The following is a 17109-nucleotide window of genomic DNA, read 5'->3' on the forward strand; positions in this document are numbered from 1 at the left end:
TCCACCTCCTCCTTAAAACTAATTTCAGGGCCAGGCGCGGAGGCTCTCACCTGTAATCCCAGCACTTTGGGAGGGGAGGCGGGAGGATCACGAGGTCATGAGATCGAGACCATCCTGACTAACATGGTGAAACCCCGTCTCTACTAAAAATACAAAAAATTAGGCAGGTGTGGTGGCTGGCGCCTGTAGTCCCAGCTACTTGGGAGGCTGAGGCAGGAGAATGGTGTGTACCCGGGAGACAGAGCTTGCAGTGAGCCAAGATTGCGCCACTGCACTTCGGCCGGAGAGACAGACAGAGACTCCATCTCAGAAAAAAAAAAAAAAAAAAAATACTAATTTCAGGCCAAACATGGTGGTTCACACCTGTAACCCTAGCACATTAGAAGGCCAAGGCAGGCAGATCACTTGAGTGCAGGAGTTCAAGACAAGTTTTACAGTTTCACCAATGCACCACAACGTAGTAGTCTCTCGTTGTGAGGTATCACTCGAGTTTTTTCTCTCATGACCAAGAAATTTAAGAAGCGTGGTCACAAAGGATGAGGTTGGAGTGAACGTTTAATAAGCAAAAAAAGAAAGCTCTCTGCCATGGAGGGGGGTCCAGAAGAGGATAGCCATTTTAACAGTTGAATGTAAAGGCTTTTATAAGAAACTGATGAGGCCTTGGCATCTCATTTGCATAAGGCACAAACTTCTGCTAGCTCCACCCTATCCTCCTAGTGCGCATGTAGGTCCTTAGCTTGAGTCACTCCATATTGCTTTGTTCCCCTTACCGTGCATGTGTCAGGGGACAGAATTTTCCATTGCAGGCGTGTCCAGGCAAGTCACCTGTGTAGGCTTTCTTATCTGTGTGGCTGTGGGCATATCTTAGGCAAGCCCTCCTATGCAGGTTCCCTTATCTGTGCTTGCAGGTTGTTCTTCTGTTTGAAATAATTCAACTGAGGACCCAGCTAACTGCCTGCCTAATCAGTTTCTTCCTTTCTACTCTTTCATTTCCCCCCCCCCCGCCTCAGGAGTGGAGACCCTAAGTGCTGTTAGGGAGATGGGGCGATGAGCCTTGCGGCTACTTGCTGCTACAGAGTAGCTTTGTGTGGGGAACAGCAGCTACGATTCCTCCTAGGGCTGGTCTGAGAGTCCTTGGAAGAAAGGCGTGTCCATGTGTGATTTCATTTGCATTACCATTTGGAGCTTGATAGCCTTTAGGTAAGAAGAAACAATTTAGGTTATTACAGGACATGTATTAAAATGAAACAAGTGGGGGCGAGGTAAGAACAGCTTAAAAATCCCAAGGCTGCCAACACGCCCAGATAAGTAGTGGCTATAGTTATGCTTCTAAGATTTAGGTGAATGGGGCTCGGCTTTGGTTAACTTCCTTAGTTTTATTTTCCCAAACAAAGAAATCTCTGAGTAATGGACACCCTATTTACTCCCATCACCATGCAGGATTTGCACGATAATTAACCAGAACTAAAATATCGATCCAGATTTTTACATTAACCATCCCTTTTTGTTTCTTCTGAGATGCTGGTTGGTTTACATGAATAAGCAGGCTTAGTCTAAAATGTAGGCAAGAACTTCAAAGCAACTAATGAAATTAGAATTTAATGACAAACATGTAAGAAGTTTTGAAACATAATTTTTCTCTTTCCAGTCCTCATTTTTGTTAAAAACAAATCATGATAGAAACTTTACTTTTATACTTGGTCTGATTATTTACATAAGGTGCAATAAGAATAATTATTTTTACATAGGCTTTTTAAATTGGCTTTGATGAGGCTTGTGGAACTTCAGACAGGACCTTTTAACACCAAGCCTAGCCATGCGTTTGTACCCTCAAATACCTATGAGTTAGGTGAATTCTTCTCTTCTTAAGGTCCCAAGAATATGGGGTTCCTGGGCCTGTTAGACAGTGACATTCTTTACTCACCACAGGTTAGGAACCCTGTACAGGGACTGTATAGACAAGGTATGAAGCCAGTTTCCCCAAGGGGCTTTTATTGGCTCTGTACGCCAAGCTTGATTCCTCAAAGGGAAGCATATCCTTCCAGTCAAAGCCTTAGTAAAACAACTAGTTTCTGCAATTGTGTCCTGTTGTAAAAGAAAATAGATCGTTATTGCACAGAGGCAAACAACTATACTGCCATAAGTTAAGAATACTCCCAGCTTCCAAATTCTGGAGAAGCCAGGCAGAAAGAAGCAAGCATGCTCCAAATTTTGTTTACAGGAGTATGCCTTATGTAATTACGAAAGGCTGTAAATAGCTTAAGATAAGTTTCCTTGATTCTGAAAAAAAAAACAAGGATCAGCAACATTTTGAGCAAAAACTTTAAAAAGCCCGTTTTTTTAACTGTTGTTTTGCTCGATATTCATGAACATTTCAGCTCTTCATGGGTCCTGAGCACTTTTCCTTTATTCCAATGTCATAATCTACAAACTGATTAGAAACTTGCATTTGAGGGCACCTGTCAAAGTCCTATAGCTGATTATGAACCAATCTTTGAAGAGGATTAAAGTAAGATAACAATTATCTGTGAATGATGAAATGTCCAGGGTAGTTACAGTCAAGAACACAATTGACAAAGAAATTTGGTTATTTCTGTGGTTTACAATAACTTAACATAAAAATCTTAATTATGATTGATGGTATACACTCAGACATTAGAATTTTTGAAATCCTGTACAATTTTTGAGTGTATATTAATATTATTCACTAAAATATAACCTGAAGAAGATTAAACATCATTTTGGAAACCCCACATACCTAAACATGTTAGATAACCCTGCTTACCTCTCTTCTGGATGCTTCAGGGGCCCTCTGTAGCATCCAAAAGCTAGGCGTCAGGAAAGACAATTCTGAAACTGAAATTCAAAATTGACAAAATTCCCAAAACTGATTTTGAGAAGCCTCTTAAATAGGTTAGAGATTTAAAACACTTGATGTTATGAAATAGAATTCCAGATTACTATAAGTTATTTATTTGCCAAAATAATGACTCAAAAATTTTAAAAGGCAAAAACGTTTCACTAGCCTTTACTATTACATGAAAATCCTGTTCAAAGCCAAATTTCACCCTTGCATTAGTTTATTAATGTTAACCCCATTTTTTAAATGAAAACTTACAGACAAGTTCATCTAATCTTAATCAGTTTAACCATGAGGTGAGACTCTTATAAACTTTTTATAACCCTTTACAAACTTTGCTAAAGAGCAGATTATCTTCTTTTTTTTTTTCTGAGATGGAGTCTTGCTCTGTCACCCAGGCTGGAGTGCAGTGGCGAGATCTCAGCTCACTGCAAGCTCCACCTTCCGGGTTCACACCGCTCTCCTGCCTCAGCCTCCCGAGTAGCTGGGACTACAGGGGCCCACCACCTCGCCTGGTTAATTTTTTGTGTTTTTAGTAGAGATAGGGTTTCACCAGGTTAGCCAGGATGATCTCGAACTCCTGATCTCGTGATCCACCCGCCTCAGCCTCCCAAAATGCTGGGATTACAGGCGTGAGCCACTGCACCCAGCCCAGAGCAGATTAGCTTCTTAAAAAAACCTTGGCCTGGCATGGTGGCTCAGGCCTGTAACCCCAGCACTTTAGGAGGCCAAGTCAGGTGGATCATGAGGTCAAGAGATCAAGACCATCCTGGCCAACATGGTGAAACCCTGTCTCTACTAAAAATACAAAAAAAATAGCTGAGCATGGTGGCGGGCGCCTGTAGTCCTAGCTACTCAGGAGGCTGAGGCAAGAGAATCGCTTGAACCTGGGAGGCAGAGGTTCCAGTGTGCCAAGATTGTGCCACTGCACTCCAGCCTGGGCAAAAGAGTGAGACTCCATCTCAAAAAGAAAAAAGAAGGCTGGGCACAGTGGCTCACACCTGTAATCCCAGCACTTTCGGAGGCCGAGGCAGGTGGATCACGAGGTCAGGAGATTGAGACCATCCTGGCTAACATGGTGAAACCCTGTCTCTACTAAAAATACAAAAAATTAGCCAGGCCTGGTGGCGGCCGCCTATAGTCCCAGCTACTTGGGAGGCTGAGGCAGGAGAATGGCGTGAACCAGGAGGCGGATCTTGCAGTGAGCCGAAATCGCGCCACTGCACTCCAGCCTGGGTGACAAAGCGAGACTCCGTCTCAAAAAAAAAAAAAAAAGAAAAAAGAAAAGAAAAAAAGAAAACCTTGTTGGGCTTTTATTTCAATGCTTAATTTACACAAAAATTTAATAATACCCTTTTAACTTTAGCTGATGTCCACATAGAATTTCTACAGTATCTCCACAACTTGTTTAAACCTTCAGCTTTATATTATCTGATTCAAAACAATCCCTTAACCCTAGGCAAATATATATTTCCATGCCTTCTTATAATCTTTTACTAAAAACACATTTTACTATTTTTACACATCTTGCATGTAAATCTATTTTCAGTAGTCTCAATTACACGTTATAATGGTAACTCTTAGCAATTTTAAATTTTAATGTGAAACCTGGTAAATTATTTTAGTGATGTACTAGGCACAGATAGAATCTGAACCTAGTATCTGACTTGCATAATTTAGACCATCTATTTACATTTTGAACACATTTGTATTTTGCCAATAATCCTTAAGACTGTTTTTGTTTCTCAAAGATTAAAGTTCTGTGAACCAAGAAGCATTACAGCTTTTACTTTTTATTTAAAAAAAAATTTGAACTAAGCACTTATTTTTCTTTAAGCCAATTAATTACAGCTCTTTTTGTAGACATCACATGCAACACATATATAACTACACCAAAAAACACAAGCAGATCTAGTAGTTATAAGATATTCATTTGCCAATTTTTAAATTGGATTATCGGCCTCCAGGTGGCCCCCTTTAAGAGCAGGGCTAGGAAAACATGCAGTTTTTAGGGCCTAATAAACAGGCATAGCTGGAGGACAGAAACAGATTTTGAGAGGGATCTATTTGCCTCTAATTCCTGGGGCTCCAGGAGGAAAACAAAGGTTTCTCCCAAAATGGAATCTATGGCACCTTTTCTGTTTTTCCCAAGGAGTCCCAGGCCACCAGAAGTTATCTTGGGGCCTCTGAGGTGTGCATTAAGAGTGGTAAGAAGCTGGTTGCAGTGGCTCATGCCTGTAATACCAGCACCTTGGGAGGCCGAGGTGGGCAGATCACCTGAGGTCAGGGGTTCAAGACCAGCCTGGCCAACATGGTAAAACCTCATCTCTACTAAAAATACAAAAATCAGCTGGGTGTGGTGGTGAGTGCCTGTAATCCCAGCTACTCAGGAGGCTGAGGCAGGAGAATTGCTTGAACCAGGGAAGCGGAGGTTGCAGTGAGCTGAGATCATGCTACTGCACTGCAGCCTAGGTGACAGAGTGAGACTGTATCTCAAAAGACAAACAAACAAAACAAACAAACAAACAAAAAAAAACAGTGGCAAGACAAAATGGAGAAAAAGAATTCAGGTGACTGAAAAAAACCCTTTTCCAGAAAAACAAGATCCAAGAAGAGAAAAACAAAGGCCTTTTAAATATACGTGTAACTTAGATATCCACTTTTAATTAAACTGAGCACGCTTTAAGAAAATCCTTTTAAATCCCTTGTTATCCAACTTTAGCCACACCAAGTGGTTAGTATTTCTGGCTTTTGAGCTTTACCAGAAGTAACCTCACAGGTGAAAACCACAAGCCTCAATAAAGATTATGATTTAACCACAAGTGTATGAGGTGTTTTCAAAGTGGGGTAAGCAGTTCTTACAAAATATAGAACCTTTAAAGATAACTCAGGGAAATGAAGATTTAAGAAAAAAGGTAAATGTTGTTCATAGAGGAGAAGAGAATCAGGAAATGGCAAAAGTCACACAGATATTAACCCAAAAGTGCTCATTCCTCAAGTCAGGATTGAACTCAGGCCACCATTGTAAAATAGCAGAGGCCAAAACAAAGTACCACCACATCGCAAGGTCACGGTCCCAAGGACATAAAACAAGATGGAGGCCTGCAGCAAAATTTGTTACTGACCAACTTACCAGGCTGGCTGGAACAGCAGGCTTATGGAGTCCCAGGCCTGCATTCCATTTCAAGGTATCCCTCTCTCTGCCTTTTTCTTGTGTTTCCTCTCCTTTTCCTGGGCCTCCTCTTGGTCCCTATTATAAAAGACCAAGGTGGGTACTCTTAGGAGGTTTTCTGTGGTGCTATGTGATCCGATAGCCTGTTTCTGCAGCTTCCTTCTGATACCAGGGGCCACCTGAGTAAATCTGTCTTTCAAGATTTGCTGTCCCTCAATTGAATTAGGAGATAGGTGTGTTTTACCAAGGCTTCTCTCAGCCTTTCTAAAAATGCTGAGGGATTTTCATCTAGCTTTTGATCTATCATAGATAGCTTAGAGTAGTTGAGGGGTTTGGCTCTGGTCCTCTGTAAGCCCTCTAATATACGCATCTGAAAGTGTTTTCTTTTCCACTCATCTATGGGATCACTAGTGTTCCAATTAGAGGTTTCAAGGGGCACTGCCTCTCTTCCTACTGAGAATGGGGATTTTGCGTCTTTCTCACTCTCTTTCCCCTTTTGACTGGCTTTCTTTCTTGAATGGCTAGAGGAAATATGTTATTCATCTCCAAATTTCTCTGCTACCTGTAGGGCTGCGTGTTTCTCAGCAGCAGTTAGAGTTTGATTTAAGAGTAACATAACGTCCTTCCAGGAGAGTTTAAATAGTTGGGTTAAATAGTTGGAAGATCTCTATATATGAGTTAGGGCTTGCCCAAAGCGAACTTCAGGATCTGAGGTTACACCAGGTTACATCCAGGCTATGCTCAAGGGGAGTGCAGGCTTGAAGATGGGTTGTTGCCCATCTAGAAAAGAGAGAAGGAACTTCTCCAAGAAAACACCAAATGGCAGATGATGCTGGTGCAGGAGTAGGGGGCCGGAGGCCCCGGGGGCCTAGGATGGGGAACCGTGGTGGCTTCCACAGAGGCTTTGGTAGTGGCATCCGGCACCAGGGTTGTGGCTGTGGACAGGGCCAGGGCCAAGGCCGTGGAGTTCGTGGAGGCAAGGCCGAGTATAAGGAGTGGATGACCGTCACCAAGCTGGGCCACCTGGTCAAGGACATCAAGATCAAGTCCCTGGAGGAGATCTATCTCTTCTCCCTGCCCATCAAGGAATCTGAGATCATTTGACTTTTTCAAAACCTCGTCCTCTCTCAAGGACGAGGTTTTGAAAATTATGCTGGTGCAGAAGCAGACCCATACCAGCCAGTGTACCAGGTTCAAGGCATTTGTTGCCACTGGGGACTACAATGGCCACATCAGTCTGGGTATTAAGTGCTCCAAGGAGGTGGCCACTGCCATCTGTGGGGCTATCATCCTGGCCAAGCTCTCCATTGTCCCTGCGTGCAGAGGCTACTGGGGGAACAAAATCAGCAAGCCCCACACCATCCCTTGCAAGGTGGCAGGCTGCTGTGGCTCTGTGCTGGTGTGCCTCATTTCTGTGCCCAGGGGCACTGGCATTGTCTTGGCCCCTGTGCCCAAGAAGCTACTCATGATGACTGGTATCAATGACTGCTACACCTCAGCCAGGGGCTGCACTGCCACCCTGGGCAACTTTGCCAAGGCCACCTTTGATGCCATCTCTAAGACCTACAGCTACCTGACCCCCGACCCTGGAAGGAGACTGTATTAACCAAGTCTCCCTATCAGGAATTCACTGACCACTCCATCAAGACCCACACCAGAGTCTCCATGCAGAGGACTCAGGCTCCAGCTATGGCTACAACATAGGGTTTTTATACAAGAAAAATAAAGTGAATTGAGCCTGAAAGAAAAAAAGAAAAGAGGGGAGGAGAAGGTGTCCGTTAGTCTTCCTCCTCCTTTCAGAGTGACCCAGAGTGGAGAGAAAGATAGAAAGAGTGCCCCACTTCTCCTCTTTCATCCCATCTCCTCAGGGTCCCAGCAACCATCATAGATGCCACCCATGGATGCAAGCATAACCTTCGCCCATGGATCTAGAGGAGCTAGTCGGCAAGAGTAGTCATGTTTACCTGTATGAGGCCCTAGCTCTCCACCCTGCTGGTTTCCCAGACCCACATGACCCATAAGGCTCCCAGGGTACCCCAGGGGCCCAGAAGAGATTGCACAATAGTTGAATTTGGGCAAGACCCTTTAATGGAGGGAGTGTCTTAACTCTATCCATACATTCTGTTACTACTGCCCGGGCAAAGTTATGAATTCCTAGAGAATGGGACCAATTGACTTCTAAACATAAGATCCGTTTCTCACTTAGATGCCAATGTAGCTGAATGCACAACAGATGTCTCAAAATAATGTAAGAATTGAATGGCTGTCCTCCCTCTGATAGGGATAGCACTGAGGCAAAAATCTGTCTTGCCAGGATGGCTTCCTCCCAGCTGCTGAAAGGGGAGATTTTCTGCTTACAAATAGGGCATGGGGCCTGATCACTGAGAGAGGGACGTAAGAGGGAAAGGAATCAGGGAACTAGAGGTTCTGGAAGGACTGACAAGGCTCCCCATGGAGAAGATTCCCACCCCACTAGGTAGCACTGGAGTGCTTAAAATGTCAGGAAAAAACTCTGATTCCAAATTCTTTCCAAGCAGATGTTAGAAAGAGAAGTTGGGGCTTAATAGGATGTCCCCACAACATGCCTACTAGCAGGAAAAAATTAACTTGTCATAGAGGAACTGCTTAAATTCACTGGGGAATGCTGAGCTCTTACATGAGGAAAAAAAAAATGGAGCAGAGGGTATTCACTCGGGGTGAAATATCCGCACATACAGTGCCAGGAACGCCTATCACTGGGGGACAAGAAGGCCCTTACTAGGTGAAAGTTTAGACTGAAATCTTGAAATCCCCCCATCTCAAGGAAATCACAGAAGCAGCAATTTTTTAAAATTTACATTCTTGGTTACCAAGGCACCTGCTAACTGTACCCAACAAGATTACCTCCCAGGCTGTAAAAAATCCTTCAACGTAGTACATAAAGAAGGGATAGGAGATATGATAGCTGTGAAAAGAGAAGAAATAAATTCAATAGAAAAGTCTGGAAGTCCTGATGCCGACGCCCTGATGGGCTGTTGGGGGCCAGAGGTAGTCCAGGGGCCAGAGCTTGTCCAGGGACCTATATAGCCTTGGCCAGATGCCTTCAGTTGCCCCAGGACCTCCTTCCAAAGGAAACTGGATTGGAACAGAGCCAACATTCCCACCATGTGAGGGCGATAGGGGATTGAGAAAGTCCTCTCCAGCAAGCCTGTCCCCTGAGTCTTGTAAGGATGGCAGCCACTCTAGAAGCTTTTAACTGGCTGAAGGGCGCAGTGTTTTGTTTAATTAAAAAAACTGAGGGCAAGAAGCCCCCAAACAAAAATGAAGAATCGGAGGTCCCTCCTACTCAACTTTCCAATGTTTCCTTTCCCTGCCAATGCACTAAAATGTTACAGTTTTGCCAATGCACCACAATGTTACTGTTTTGCCAATGCACTGCAATGTAGCAGTTTCTCATTGCCGGGTATCACCTGCATTTCTTTGTTTCACAACCAGGAAAATTAAGGAGCCTGGACACAAACGGTGAAGTTGGAGCGAAAGTTTAATAAGTGAAAGAAGAAAGCTCTCTGCTGTGGAGAGGGAGCCTGGAAGAGGGTTGCCATTTTTACAGTTAAATGCAAAGGCTTTTATAAGAAACTGAAGAGGACTAGGTGTCTCATTTGCATAAGATGCAAATTTATGCTAGCTCCACCCCATCCTCCTAGTGTGCATGGGGGCTCTTACCTTGAGCTATTCCATATTGCTTTGTTCCCCTTACTGTGCATGAGTCAGGGGATGGAATTTTCCATTGCAGGCATGGCTGGGAAAGTCACCTGCGTAGCCTTTCTTATCTGTTCAGCTGTGGGCATGTCTTAGGCAAGCCCCTCTATGCAAGTTCCCTTATCTGTACCTGCAGGCTGTTCTTTTGTTTAAAGAATTCAACTGAGGACCCACCCTAACTGCCTGACCAGTTTCTTCCTTTCTACTCTCTCACTAGCCTGAACAATGTGGTGAAGTTCCCTCTCTATAAAATATACAATATTTTATGCATAAATATGGTGGCATGCATCTCAGGAGGCTGAGATGGGAGGATTGCTTGAGCCCCGGAGGCAGAGGCTGCAATGAGCCAAGATCGCACCACTGCACTCCAGCCTGGGCGACAGAGCATGACCCTGTCTCAAAAAAAACAAACCTAATTTCAAACATTCCTTCTCTTTGTAACTCACCTGTGCCACTACTCGGAAAGATACACAATGTTGTGAATTCCTGCAGGGGGGATTCTGCTCTGTTAGTGAATGTTTCCTCACTGCTGGCTAGGGAATTCATCTGAAGTTGCTTGCCATTCCACCATCTTCCAGCTCCTAAAATGCTGGTGTTATTGTGTCCGGAATTTAGTCCTTCTGGTGGGTTCTTGGTCTTGCTGACTTCAGGGATGAAGCCGTGGACCTTCATGGTGAGTGTTACAGCTCTTAAAGATGGTTTGTCTGTAATTTGTTCCTTCAGATGTTCGGATGTGTCCGGAGTTTCTTCCTTCCAGTAGGTTCGTGGTCTCGCTGACTTCAGGAGTGAAGCTGCAGACCTTCGCAGTGAGTGTTACAGCTCTTAAAGGTGGTGTGTCTGGAGTTATTTGTTCCTTCTGGTGGGTTTGTGATCTCGCTGACTTGAGGAATGAAGCCACGGACCCTCACGGTGAGTGTTACAGCTGATAAAGGCAGTGTGGACCCAAAGAGTGAGCAGCAGCAAGATTTATTGTGAAGAGCAAAAGAACAAAGCTCCCACAGCGTGGAAGGGGACCCGAGTGGGTTGCCGCTGCTGGCTGTAGTGGCCAGCTTTTATTCCCTTATTTGGCTCTGCCCACATCCTGCTGATTGGTCCATTTTACAGAGTGCTGATTGGTCCATTTTACAGAGTGATTGGTGCTGATTGGTGAGTTTACAATCCTTTAGCTAGACACAGAGCGCTGAGTGGTGCATTTACAATCCTTTAACTGGACACAGAGTGCTGATTGGTGCATTTTTACAGAGTGCTGATTGGTGCATTTACAATCCTTTAGCTAGACAGAAAAGTTCTCCAAGTCCCCACTCATCCCAGAAAGTCCAGCTGGCTTCACCTCTCATTATTGTCTCCTCTCCTACCCTCATCACTCTTGTGCTTTTCTACTTTAGAAACAAATAGGCTGGATGCAGTGGTTCCTGCCTGTAATCCCAGTACTCTGGGAGGCCGAGGCTGGAGAATCACTTGAGGCCTGGAGTTTGATACCAGCCTGTAAAACATAGCAACACCCCTATGGCTATCAAAAATTAAGAAATTAAAAAATAACAAGGGAAACTCCTGTTACTGTGGTTTTAGAGGGGTTTGAGATGGAACATAGCTAACTACTGGTATTAAAACCAACATTTTAAACCAGCCTCTTTTTTTGAGATGGAGTCTCATTCTGTCACCAGGCTGAAGTGCAGTGGTGCAATCTCGGCTCACTGCAACCTCCACCTCCCAGGTTCAAGTGATTCTCCTGCCTCAGCCTCCCGAGTAACTGGGACTACAGGCATGTGCCACCACACCCAGCTAATTTTTGTATTTTTGGTAGAGACGAGGTTTCACCATGTTGGCCAGGATAGTCTCGATCTCTTGACCTTGTGATCCACCTGCCTTGGCCTCCCAAAGTTCTGGGATTACAAGTGTGAGCCACTGTGCCCGGCCTTAAAGCAGCCTTTATGTACAATTTTATATTTCCTTTAAAAATTTTTTATTTAGTATTGTAGTATAATCATTTCCCTGTGTGATTAAAAATGTAATGTTGACCAAAAGAGTCAAACTCTGTAAAATATTTGAAGAGATTTATTCTAAGCCAAATATGAGTGACCATGGCCCATAACACAGCCCCCAGGAGGTCCTGAGAACATGTGCCTAAGGTCAGTGTACAGCTTGGTTTTATACATTTTAGGGAGGCATGAGGCATCAATCAAATACATTTAAGAAATACATTGGTTTGGTTCAGAAAGGTGGGACAATTCAAAGCAGGGTGGAGGGCTTCCAGGTTATAGGTAAATTTAAACATTTTCTGATTGACAATTGAGTTTGTCTCAAGACCTGGAATCAATAGAAAGGAATGTCTGGGTTGTGATAAGATGTGGAGGCTGGGCACGGTGGCTCACGCCTGTAATCCCAGCATTTTGGGAAGCCAAGGCAGGCAGATCACCCAAGGTCAGGAGTTCGAGATCAGGCTGGCCAACATGGTGAAACTCCGTCTCTACTAAAAGTACAAAAATTAGCCAGGCGTGGTGGTGCATGCCTGTAATCCCAGCTACTTGGGAGGCTGAGGCAGGAGAATTGCTTGAACCCAGGAGGCAGAGGTTGCAGTGAGCCGAGATTGCACCACTGCACTCCAGCCTGGGCAACAGAGTGAGACTCTGTCTCAAAAAAAAAAAAAAAAAAAAAAAGGCCAGGTGCGGTGGCTCATGCCTGTAATCCCAGCACTTTGGGAGGCTGAGGCAGGCAGATCACAAGGTCAGGATATCGAGACCATACTGGCTAACACAGTGAAACCCCGTCTCTACTAAAAATACAAAAAATTAGCTGGGTGTGGTCGCGGGCGCCTGCAGTCCCAGCTACTCGGGAGGCAGAGGCAGGAGAATGGCGTGAACCCGGGAGGCGGAGCTGGCAGTGAGCCGAGATCACACCACTGCACTCTAGCCTGGGCAACAGAGCAAGACTCCATCTCAAAAAAAAAAAAAAAAAAAACAGTTGTGGAGACCAAAGTTTTATCATGCAGATGAAGCTTTTAGCTAGCAAGCTTCAGAGAATAGGTTGCAAAGTGTTTCTTTTCAGACTTAAAGTCTGTGTTGAGTTTAATGCTGGAGAGGTATAATGAAGCATGTTTGATCCCCTACTTCACATCATAGCCTGAAACAGTCTCTCAGGTTACATTTCAAGATCCCTGGTTGAGGAGGAAGTCCATTCAGATGGTTGGGGGGCCTTCAAATTTTATTTTTGGTTTACACTAATAACATCATTTCAGTTGCTACTTATAGTCCACTGTCCTTTTTTTCTTTTGAAGGGGAACAGGGTCTGGCTTGTTGCCCAGGCGGAGTACAGTGGTATGATCATAGCTCACTGCATCCTTAAACTCCTGAGCTCAAGCCATCCTCCCGCCCTGGCCTCCCAAGTAGCTGGGACTACAGGTGCATGCCCAGCCATCATTGTCCTTTCTTAATAATTTCATGGACATTGGGCTTCTTTCCAGTTTTTCCCAGTTATAAATAATACTGTAATAAACATCTTTGTGTAAGTAGAAAACTGTGTCCTCATTTTAGGTTATGTGAACCCTGAATATCTGAGACAGGTCTCAGTTAATTTAGAAAGTTTATTTTGCCAAGGTTGAGGAGGTGCACCTGTGACACAGCCTCAGGAGGACCTGATTTTCATGTGCGTCCGTGTGAAGAGACCACCAAACAGGCTTTGTGTGAGCAATAAAGCTGTTTATTTCACCTGGGTGCAGGCAGGCTGAGTCCGAAAAGAGAGTCAGCAAAGGGAGATAGGGTTGGGGCCGTTTTATAGGATTTGGGTAGGTAAAGGAAAAAGGGGGGTTGTTCTCTGGCGGGCAGGAGTGGGGGTCACAAGGTGCTCAGTAGGGGAGCTTTTTGAGCCAGGATGAGCCAGGAAAAAGAATTTCACAAGACAATGTCATCAGTTAAGGCAGGAACAGGCCATTTTCACTTCTTTTGTGGTGGAATGTCATCAGTTAAGGCAGGAACCAGCCATCTGGATGTGTACGTGCAGGTCACAGGGGATATGAAGGCTTAGCTTGGGCTCAGAGGCCTGACACTGATGACATGTGCCCACTGTGGTCAGGCCACAGCTTGGTTTTATACATTTTAGGGAGACACGAGACATCATTCAATATGTGTAAGAAGTACATTGGTTCTCTCCAGAAAGGTAGGACAACTTGAAGCAGGGAGGGAGGCTTCCAGGTCACAGGTAGGTGAGAGAAAAATGGTTGCATTCTTTTGAGTTTCTGATTAGCCTTTCCAAAGAAGGCAATCAGATATGTATCTATCTCAGTGAGCAGAGGGAAGACTTTGAATAGAATGGGAGGCAGGTTTGCTCTAAGCAGTTCCCACCTTGACTTTTTCCCTTTACCTTAGTGGTTCTGGGGCCCCAAGATTTATTTTCCTTTCAGTTATTTCTTTCGGATAAATTTTCCAGAAGGGGAAATATTATGTGAAACAGGGGAGAAAATGAAGACAGACGAAAGAAGAACAAGGAAGTCCTCAGAGGAGGAGGTCTACACCAGTCTCAAACAGCTGCCCCAGCATCACCTGGAGGGCTTCTTAGAACAGTCTGCAGGTCCATCCCCAGAGGAAGTCTGGGGTGAGTCCAATGATAATTTACATTATTAACAAATTCCAAAACCTTTGCTGAAGCTATTGTTCCCGGAACCAGGCATGGGAACAGGTTGGAGTTAAGAATACATGAAACTGCAGAGGTGTTCGTAGGTGGAACCTCGGTGGGAAATTGTACCTTTATTTCCTATCAGAGTAGGAGGTGGGATCCCTGGCCAAAAGAGAAGCAGGAGGGGGCAAATACATGATGAAAGGAGTGAATGGTTTGGATAAGCCTCAGCAGGATTTAAGGAAGGAACTGGTACACAAAAATTATGAGAACCCATTGTTTTGGACTAGGCTTCTGCACTAGGCCTCAACAGACCAGACCACACCAAAATGGAGTCACTCATGCTAAATGTCACATAATCAGACTGAAACCAAGGTAGCAGGTAGATTCGAAAACGGTTTTTTACCCTGGAAACAGGACATTCCAGCCTACCTGAATCAGCATATTCAGGAGGTCCTCTTTGCCTTAATCTTTACAAAAAAGTAACCAGAAGTTAACCAATCAGCTTTTTTTTTTTAATTGTTCTGTTTCCTTCCTTGTTCCCACCTTACAAAACTGGCTGTTCTGCCATTGCCCAGTGGGAGCTCTCATTCTGTTTTATAGAATGGAACCTGCCTTGATTCATGAATCACAAATAAAAGCCAATTAGATCTTTAACTAAACTTGCTGTAATTTTGTCTTTGGACAGAACTGATCTGAAATCCTATAAAGCGCTGAATAGAAGAATTGAGAATCCAGCCTAAATTAGACATCATAAATTGAGTGTAATATTAGCCTTCATTGTCATGTAATTTTTTTCCAACAGCTCTCAGCTGCCAGAGAAGGCCTGGGTAGAGGTTGTGGGGGAATGGCACAGCAGCACAGAGAGTAAAGGGCTAGTAGTTGGAGAGAGGTAGGTTTTCTTTAACTGTAAAGCAGCCCTCGAGGAAGTGAGGCAGAGGGCCAGGAGTTTGACGTTGAGTGGTGTCATTAGAGTTGACCATTAGGCAAATGGAGCTGTTCTCAGGTGTGACAGGAATTTGGCCATCTTTAGAATCTTTAGAATCACATTAAGGAAGTCTGAAGGCAAGCTGTTGGATGGGTCATTTGCACGGGCTCTAAAATTCTTGAGGATAATGACAAATCCCTGGTAATCTGCTGGTTGATGAATGAGATCAATGCAAAGGGATGTGGAATTGAAGGCAGAGGCAGTGGGAGCTTCAGAAGGCTTTTGCCTGAAAATGAGAGACTGATGAACTGAACTGAGCCATAAAGCAATAGGAGAATTCATGACCTGTCTTCTCATTCATGGTGGGTGAGGTGTGGGGAGCTGAAGGGTGTCACCTAGAGACCCTGGAGTTCCCCAGGCCATCTCGATTAGGGGCTGGGCCTTACAAAGATACAGGTGATGAAAGCTGCAGTGAAGGCCATTTTGCTAGAGGCCTGGAGGATAACAAGAGTTCTTGCAGGAAAGCCTAAAGTCTGCAGAATTGTTATGGTACATAAGAAACCTAAATGGTTCTCAGTGAGGATGAAGGCTCACCAGGACAAGGCAAATGCACATTTGTGACCATAAGTAATTCCTATCGAGCAGAAGCTGCTAGGTGGCTACTGTGCTCTTCCACCTTCCAGGATCACAACCACTCTCAGTGCCCCATGCAGCCACCTCAGGTCAGAGTTTGTGCTCAGAATCAACACTCCATCATTCTTGTGCTAGGCATCGGAATACTCAGTCCCTGTTTTCAAGAGTCTTAGTGACTGGAGCCAGAACAGTCTAGGAGACAAAACACTCTTTAAGGGAGCTTGGGAAAGCATCCCCTAAGTCTAAAAAGAGTGATTTAAAAATGCTCAGGCTTTTGAGTGCTCTCACCACAAAGAAATGTGAATGCATGAGGTGATAGATAAGCTAAATACCCTGATTTGATCATTAGACAACAGATATATGTGTCAAAACTTCAAATGTTACCCCACGAATAAGTACAATTACAATTTTTTTTTTGAGACAAGATCTGGCTCTGTCGCCCAGGCTGGAGTGCAGCGGCACGATCTTGGCTCCCTGCAACCTCCACCTCCCGGGTTCAAGCAATTCTCATGCGTCAGCCTCCCGAGAGCTGGGACTATAGGCGTGCGCCACCACGCCCGGCTAACTTTTTATTTTTAGTAGAGATGGAGCTTCGCTACGTTGGCCAGGCTGCAATCTGTCAATTAAAAAAAAAAGCCGTCTCAGAACACGTTTCTTTTTTGAAGCAAAAGCTGTTTGAGATAGGCATTTCCTTGGAAGGAAGTTGTCAAAATGCAAATCACCCACTCAAGACAAAAGTACCTATTGTTTCTCTTTGGCTGCTGTTTCTAGCCTACTTTGTGTGAAGAGGAGTTAGCCAGGGGCTGAGTGTGTGGCAGCCAAGCAAATAAGCCACACCCCTGTCACAAGTCCTGTGAGGGGAGACTGATTTGGGTAATAATAACACTGTGATCTTCCACACAGCCAGCTCTGCATGAATTACTCTTTCTCTATTGCAATTTCCATGTCTTGAGAAATTGGCTCTGTCCAGGCAGCAGGAAGGTGGACCCACTGGGTGGTTACAGAAGTACCAAGACAAAAGAAAAGGACTTGGAGTTTCCAGGGGTGACAAATTGCGAGAAGGCAAATACATGGGGGAAACTGGTGGGGCAAGGTTTGTTTCTGCAGATCCATTTTAGCATCAACTCTTTGTGGTCTTCATGGCCATAAAACTGAATAATATTAAACAAG

At 44.4% G+C, this 17109-nt stretch overlaps 1 long non-coding RNA gene and 1 pseudogene across 1 annotated transcript, besides 3 other annotated features; one reads left to right on the plus strand and one right to left on the minus strand.

Moving 5' to 3' along the window:
- Nucleotides 1–537: 537 nt before the first annotated feature.
- On the minus strand, nt 538–6106 carry LOC105373743 (uncharacterized). Its single transcript, XR_923585.4, has 4 exons — nt 5994–6106; nt 2786–2856; nt 1925–2085; nt 538–1194 (listed from the first exon to the last, which is right to left on the minus strand). It is a non-coding gene; the product is annotated as an uncharacterized LOC105373743 (long non-coding RNA).
- RPS2P18 (ribosomal protein S2 pseudogene 18) lies at nt 6832–7773 on the plus strand (annotated as a pseudogene).
- Nucleotides 9159–10358: an enhancer, noted in NCBI's record as "MED14-independent group 3 enhancer chr2:174164665-174165864 (GRCh37/hg19 assembly coordinates)". NCBI's record gives its function as "activates an origin of replication core promoter dependent on BRD2, BRD4, P300/CBP and CDK7 cofactors, and independent of MED14, by STARR-seq in HCT116 cells {active_cell/tissue: HCT116}" and the evidence as "EXISTENCE:reporter gene assay evidence [ECO:0000049][PMID:35650434]".
- Nucleotides 9159–10914: a biological region, named in NCBI's record as "MED14-independent group 3 enhancer GRCh37_chr2:174164665-174165864".
- Nucleotides 10285–10914: an enhancer, noted in NCBI's record as "H3K27ac hESC enhancer chr2:174165791-174166420 (GRCh37/hg19 assembly coordinates)". NCBI's record gives its function as "activates a minimal SCP1, AML or CMV promoter by ChIP-STARR-seq in primed H9 embryonic stem cells {active_cell/tissue: H9 hESC(primed)}" and the evidence as "EXISTENCE:reporter gene assay evidence [ECO:0000049][PMID:30033119]".

Source organism: Homo sapiens, chromosome 2 (assembly GCF_000001405.40).
Source record: "Homo sapiens chromosome 2, GRCh38.p14 Primary Assembly".
Classification (NCBI taxonomy): Eukaryota; Metazoa; Chordata; class Mammalia; order Primates; family Hominidae; genus Homo; species Homo sapiens.